Source organism: Homo sapiens, chromosome 20 (assembly GCF_000001405.40).
Source record: "Homo sapiens chromosome 20, GRCh38.p14 Primary Assembly".
Taxonomy (NCBI): domain Eukaryota; kingdom Metazoa; phylum Chordata; class Mammalia; order Primates; family Hominidae; genus Homo; species Homo sapiens.
In genome coordinates, this window is record NC_000020.11 from 61,178,786 (window position 1) to 61,185,963 (window position 7,178).

Sequence of the window (7,178 nt, forward strand, 5' to 3'; positions counted from 1 at the left end):
GATGCACGAAGGGCTCAGGTCACTGTGTTTCTTTGGAGGGTGAAGGTGAACAGTCTTCTCTGATATGCTCCTTCTCCCTCGGGGTAGGTGTGTCTGCCATGCAAACAGGTTGCTCATCTGCCACCAGGCCCCTAATGAGCCCAACCCTCCTCTGAGCAGCTTGCTCCAACCCCAGCCCTGTTGTCAAGTCAGGCCCCTGCTCATAAAACTCTCTCCAGTGAGCTGTGACACACATGAAGGTACACATTTACAGGGAAACCTGTAAATCAGGGAAATCGGGACAGCCCCACACCCCTTCTCAAGGCCACTTAAAGTAGCAAAGGTGCGGCACTGGACTCAGCCTTGCGTTGGTCTCTGCACAGACTCAGGTAATCATCGCTGGCCTGGGAGGACGCGGCCCTCGAAGAGTTTTGGAGCATCTCCACACTTAGATGTTCAATGCCTCACGTCTACTGGGAGGTATGTGAAGTCTTTGACCCCACTTCTCAGATTGGAAACCAAGGCTGTGCATTGATGTTACTGGCCAAAGCCACAGAATGTGGGCAGAAGTCAGACTCACCAGGGAGTTTTCCTCCAGTGTGAACAGCTTTTCCTCCTCTAAAGTTCCTTCTTAAAGGAAGCAGGTAAAGAAACAGCTATAGATGTGTGCACTAACCTCTCTGAAATCACTGCAATTCAACTAGTTTTAAGGAACAATTACGACTCTACTGCTAAGCTTTGTATTTTCATTTGTAAATTCATAATAGTAATAGATCTCCCTGAAACTCTGGTTTCAAGGATTCAATGAGATAACATTAGGGGAATACTTAGAATACATAATGCCTATTAACTAAATCATGGTGGCTGCTATTTCTGTGATTGTGGAATTTGAATTCTTGTCATCTTTTTGGAAACCAATGGGGAAAGAACATTGAGAAACCATGGCCCACTCCATTGTGTGTGTGGATCCCTGTGCCTGCCTCAGTCCTCAGGAAGCCCAGAAAAGGCCAGCAGCTTCCTTCTAGAAAGAGCCAAAAGCCACCTTCTTGGAGGCATCTGGTCCAGCACATCCCACGACGGAATCAGATTAAATCCTTCCTGTTAAGTTATTCACTTTCCCTATGGGCTGTTGCTGCAAATGCTGCGTTCACCCTGGAAGGACCAAACGTTTTGCTTTTTCTTGTGTTGTAGGTTGTTTGCTTTTGTTACAAAATAATCCACACCAGCTGTAATAAATACAGAAAATATAAATGTAGATAAAAACTCCATCCATATACCTCAATACCATCCACACAGATAAAAGCAGAGAACTGATGCATGTGTGACCTTCCAGACAAATGCTGTGATGTGTGCACATATACATACATGTGCACGGGCATGCATACGTGCACCTGCACACATGCATACACTCATGCACAGGTATGCACACAGGGACACATGCACAGAGACACACACATGGACACAGAGGGACACACACAGACACACACACGGAAAATTTGATTTCCTACTGTCTTTCCTTGACAATATTAAGATTACACATGCACATCATCCTAAGATTTGCTTTCCACATTTGACCATACTGGTGACCCTTCCATGTCAGAGCACAGGATCAACCACATTCTTTCTCACTGCTGCAACACATTCCATATGAATATACCTCAATTTATATAACTGCTTCTGCACTCCTATACATTGCAATATAATGACCCCCAGCGATTTCCTAATACAAATGGTGCTGAGATGAATCCTTTTAAAATACATCATTGTACATTCAAGCTGTTATTTCTATAGACTAGAACAGATCTGTAAACTTAAGAAACGGACTGCCTGCGTAAGAACTCTTCACTCGAAGTTAAAGTCTTCCAAAGAAATGGGCACGCCATGTTAAAGCAACCACCTGCCTATCTCTCACCCAGACACCAGCCTCTGAAGGTTCCACTTATCTGAAATATTCCCATAGGCTGTCTACCTTAATTAGCCTCAACAGAAAATTATTTGACAAGTTACATGTTGTCATAATTTGCTTGAGACTTTGGGAAGAGGTGACATAATGTTGTGACAAGGTACTGTAACACTTGGAAAATCTTAACGCCCCATGTGTGCCCCTGGTCACAAATTCCCAGCCCAGCCTGGGCTCACACGCACTGCAGCATCTTTGCCAGAGACAGATTGCATCTACTTAGGTCGAGCTGCAGTTTTCAAGAAGACACTAAATCATGACACATTACTTCTCACCTTGCTGAATTTGTGAACAGGATACAACATATCTTGCCTTCGAAATAGCCAATTAGAAATATAGAAAGAAGGGCCAGGTGCAGTGGCTCACGCCTGTATCCCAGCACTTTGGGAGGCCAAGGCAGGTGGATCACGAGGTCAGGAGATCGAGACCATCCTGGCAAACATGGTAAAACCCTGTCTCTACTAAAATACAAAAAATTAGCCATGCATGATGGCGCGCACCTGTAGTTCCAGCTACTTGGGAGTCTGAGGCAGGGGAATCTCTCGAACCTGAGAGGCGGAGGTTGCAGTGAGCCGAGATCACGCCACCGCACTCCAGCCTGGCGATAGAGCCAGACACCATCTCAAAAAAAAAAAAAAAAAGAAAAGAAAAGAAATACAGAAAGAAGGGGATTAATGTTGGAGTTCCCATAAGCTAGCCATTTTTCCCTCCTATTTTAGAAGAATAAAATATTCCAATTAAGACTTAGTAACTAAATAATATGGTCTAGAACTATCTATGAACTTCACGGGGTTCTCCCACTCACCCTGTACAACAACAAAATGTGCTTTAGTCTTCACAATGAGAATTACAGAAGCAACTGCATCAGACAAAGACAGGGCTGCATTTTTTCTTCCAACCCACTAGGCCCAGATTCATGCGTGGAAGCTTAATTTATTTTGCAAAGTGAGTGTCATCACAGCCTGAAGTGTTTAAAAATCACTCATTCCATCTAATTAGATCTTTCAGTAGCTCCGAAAGTTAATATTATACCAATTGTGGCACTAATGAGCATCATGATCTTGTGTGTCACGGAGACAAGCCCCACATAGATACCTCGACATCTGGACATGTGTGTGGTATCAGGAGAGAGCACTGTTCAACCTCATTTTTGTGACTTTATTGAGGGGCGAGTAGCCCATCTTAACAAGATCACATGATGTCTGAGTGCTGTGGCCATTTAGCTTGCTATATTTGAGGAGAAAAAGGAAAAAATGTATAACCAAGCATGATTTAACAGAACTGACATGCCATTTATTCAACTTTTTTCAAAACCCCATGTTTTCAGCATTGACCTCATTAAAAAACCTCTAAGCAGGGTGAGGATCTAGGTCCTGTATATATTAATAAAATCATGGATTTTCACGGAGCCAACTTTTGTCTGGCATCAGGGAACCTAACAACACTCTGTGAAAACATGGCTCATGTCAATTTCCAGTGTACCACTGTTAATATCCAATTTCGAGAGCACGTCTTTTATTTGTAAAAACAAATTGCTAGAAAAAGCATTTGCCACTGGCATTCTGTGTTTCTAGTTCTACCATGATCCTCATGGAAAATTTATAGGAAATATTTTTCTAAATTCCTCTGCATCCCATATAGTATGGATGTTTATTATATATTTAGAAACATATATGGCTTGATTAATTTTTTAAATGACAGCCCATGAATTTAAAATGAGGTTACTCTGGGGTGCACAAATTAAATAGCTTCCAATGAAGGATTAAAAATGGAATGTAAAGAGGGTAGAAGCTATGGACCTACTGCAACACACAAGCTTGAATTATCTTTAGCATTTGGTGTGGGGCCCTCTCAATCAACAGCCACAAGCCATAAAGCTGCAGCCTCTGTAGGTTGGGGAGGTAATAAGAATGACTCTGGGAATTAAAGCAAGGAAATTAAGGACATTTGCAGGAGAGTTTAAGGAAACCAATCGTTCTCTGGAATTATTGATTGAATGATAAGTCAAGTAATATTAGCATCAAGTAGAGAGTGCACACCCAACAAGTAAATAAAAGAACGATGCATTTTAAATGCAATTGTTTCAAAGGGCACTAAGCAATCACTCTATTAAATACAATGCTTGGTGCTGAATGCATTTAAATCTCCCAGTATGTCTGTGTGTGCATATAAAGTATTGCAAAACAGAACCAAAAGCAAGTCGAATAATAATGTGAGCAGGTCCTGAGATAACCTGTCAAATCAGGCTGCTGATATCACAATTTGGGTGACAGCAGATCATGAGGCAAAGCCATAAATGAGGTAATGAAGTATTAGCAGAAACAAGGTAAAATGTGTGAATATAAAAGCCACGCTGTCCAGGGCAGGCGCTCAGAGTAATTAACCTGTCAAGGATGCAGCTCAAGGAAGTGTTTGGGTCCAACGTGATCAAGGAACAAGCCAGGGTCCCCAGCCTGCCAGCAAGGGGCGGCCCGCTGGTTCGTTGTGCTTCACTTTCACAGTGCTTTTTGCCTTTTTCATTTTTTAATGACCTGCTGATATTTAAAACTTAGGCGATTTCACTTAAATATAAAAAAAGAATTCCTGGCTTTTCATAGAAATTTCAGATCTAATAGCTCTGTGGCTACCTTCCCACACCACTGGAATTGGCTATAGCTACAGAGAACGGGAGAAGGGGGTTTTTCTTTCTCTGCTCTGCACACCCAGTGAATTCTGCTTCCTCACACACCCTGACCCCAGGACACTTGATTTTGAGACTTCTTGTGCAAGAGGACCCCGAATATGAGTGAACTATCTTCCCTAATAGGCCAGTAGGGTTTACCAGGATATGGCTGAGCAGTTGAAAAACGCAGACTTTCCAGGCCCCGATGAATTTATATGCAGAGGTGGCTTTCTTTATATATCATTGTAAAGATTATATAAAGATTATAAGAGTTTGTGTGCTCCATGCTGTATGAGGAGAAAATCAATTTCTCATTCTTCTAAAAAGCTCACAATGCAACTGGAATTTTCCCTGAACCAAGTAAACAAAAGTGTCATTTAACTTGAATGGGGAAAAGGTGTTAGAAAAAGTCTTTATCGTTCTACTTTCAACTTTCCTATTATTATCTAAGTTTGACTGATTTTTCAAGGGGTGGCTACGATGAAGCCATCCTTCGGAGTTTATAATAGAAACGCTATATAATTTAAATCGCCAGTGAAAGACTGGAGCCACGCAGTTAGGAAACTGATTTTGTTGTTGTTGTTGTCATTTCTTTTCTAGGGAAGGTTCAGCCCTACATGGTGCCTACTTCTTAGCCTGACAATGGGGTATCCAGCGGGTGAAGCAGTTGAGAAGTGGGCAGTCGACCTTGGCTTTGCCCTCCTCCCCTGATGTAGACCCCGAGGTGCCCCACTGAAGATGCCTTTGGGATGGAAAACAAGCTCTTTGAAGATTGTTTCCCAATTCTTACATTTGAGGCCAGGAGGAAGTTCCGAGGTAGCCTAGAGCCCTGTCACTGTTACAAGATTCCTTCCCAGAGGACTGGTCTACACATCTGGGAGAAAACAGGCTTCAGAAACCATCCACTCTGTGATGGCTGCTCTGGCTTATTGACGTGCAATTGATCTGACATGCCTTATTGGCATGCAGCGGGTCATTCCACACACCCCGAGTGCGGTGGCAGGCTGCATAGCATGCTTGGCACACTGCCCGGCACTCAGGTAATGATGGATGCGTGCTGGCTTAACTGCTGAGAAGCCACTAAATAACAGCCATTAACGGGTGAGGAGTTCAAATCTGGGTGCTCCTCTGTGTGTGTCGGAAAAGTTATTTGGTCACTAAGCCTAATTTATAAAATTAGAATACTGACTTTTACATTGCAAGCATTCCATGAGATAACATGCAAAGTGTAGCCCAAGGCAAGCATATAACTATTATTATTTGTTGTTGTCGTTGTTGTTATTATTATTACCACAAGACATAATCTGATTTCTTATCTTTCAAGGACCCATCTTTCAGGAATTGGCCGGACGTGGGCAAATAAATTGGATATCTATTGATCAGCACTCCTGCCAATAACTTGGAACATCATTTCCCAGTCAATGATTTCACAAATGAAGACACTGCAAAATAGTGTTCGTTGCCTGTCCACTGTAGGAACTGATTCTAAATGTTCACTTCAGTGTGCCTGCCAGAGGAATACAAACCCGATACGGGTGTACTGGCCACGCGTTGGAGAGACGAAAAGGCTTACTGAACATTCTTAGTAAATGTGCCATTTGTTCCTGGTGGGTGAAGCATTTCATGATTCATGCAATATTGTAAATTTTTATTTTCTTTACATAGACTTGGCTTTTATTGTAATTCCTACTCTTGGGGGAAGGTAATATGGATTCATCCAAGTTAATAAAGCCTCTTGGAGATAACATCTCCAGGACTCAAGGCCATTCTCAGGGTACAATTAAGACATTTGTTTGCTTGGTATTCACCACGAAGATCCAAGGTTGCCATCATGCTAAGTCACTGCATGCATTTCATGACATGAACACGAGCTTTGCATACCATTTCAGGCAGGACAGCGATCACAGTGGAGTCACCGTTAGAGAAGCTGAGAGGTTCTTTGGAACAAACTACAGGCCATGAATAAGAGTAACAAGTGTGCCACCTCATTAGAAGGTAGGGCAGTTCAGAGGACACCGAGCCCTGGACCAAAGGTTCAGGCCACAGCATGCATCACTGCATTCCACACACCCTGCTTTGCCCCGGAGCTTGGAGGTAAATCTGGAGAGAAGAAAGAGCCGTGGTTTTCTTTTCTTTTTTTTTTTTCCTTTTTTTCTTTTTTTTTTTTTTTTTTTGAGATGGAGTTTTGCTCTTGTCGCCCAGGCTGGAGTGCTATGGTGTGATCTCAGCTCACTGCAGCCTCTGCCTCCCAGGTTCAAGTGATTCTCCTGCCTCAGCCTCTCAAGTAGCTGGAATTACAGATGTGCACAACCATGCCCGGCTGATTTTTGTATTTTTAGTAGAGACAGGGTTTCACCATGTTGGTCAAGCTGGTCTCGAACTCCTGAGCTCAAGTGATTCACCAGCCTCAGCCTCCCAAAGTGCTGGGATTACAGGCATAAGCCACTGTGCTGAGGCTGTGGTTTTCTGTTTGGGATTCAAGGCATTCACCCTCCAGAAGGAAGCTGAGATATGTCTCTTATTAAATGACATACACTGTCCCTCGAACACCCTAGTGGTATATATGAAACGCATCCC

The 7,178-nt window shown here is 42.9% G+C and overlaps 1 long non-coding RNA gene across 1 annotated transcript; it reads left to right on the forward strand.

The window, feature by feature from the left end:
- The first annotated feature begins 358 nt into the window (after positions 1-358).
- On the forward strand, positions 359-6,403 carry LOC105372701 (uncharacterized). Its single transcript, XR_936956.2, has 3 exons — positions 359-459; positions 5,202-5,417; positions 5,926-6,403. It is a non-coding gene; the product is annotated as an uncharacterized LOC105372701 (long non-coding RNA).
- The last annotated feature ends 775 nt before the right edge of the window (positions 6,404-7,178 follow it).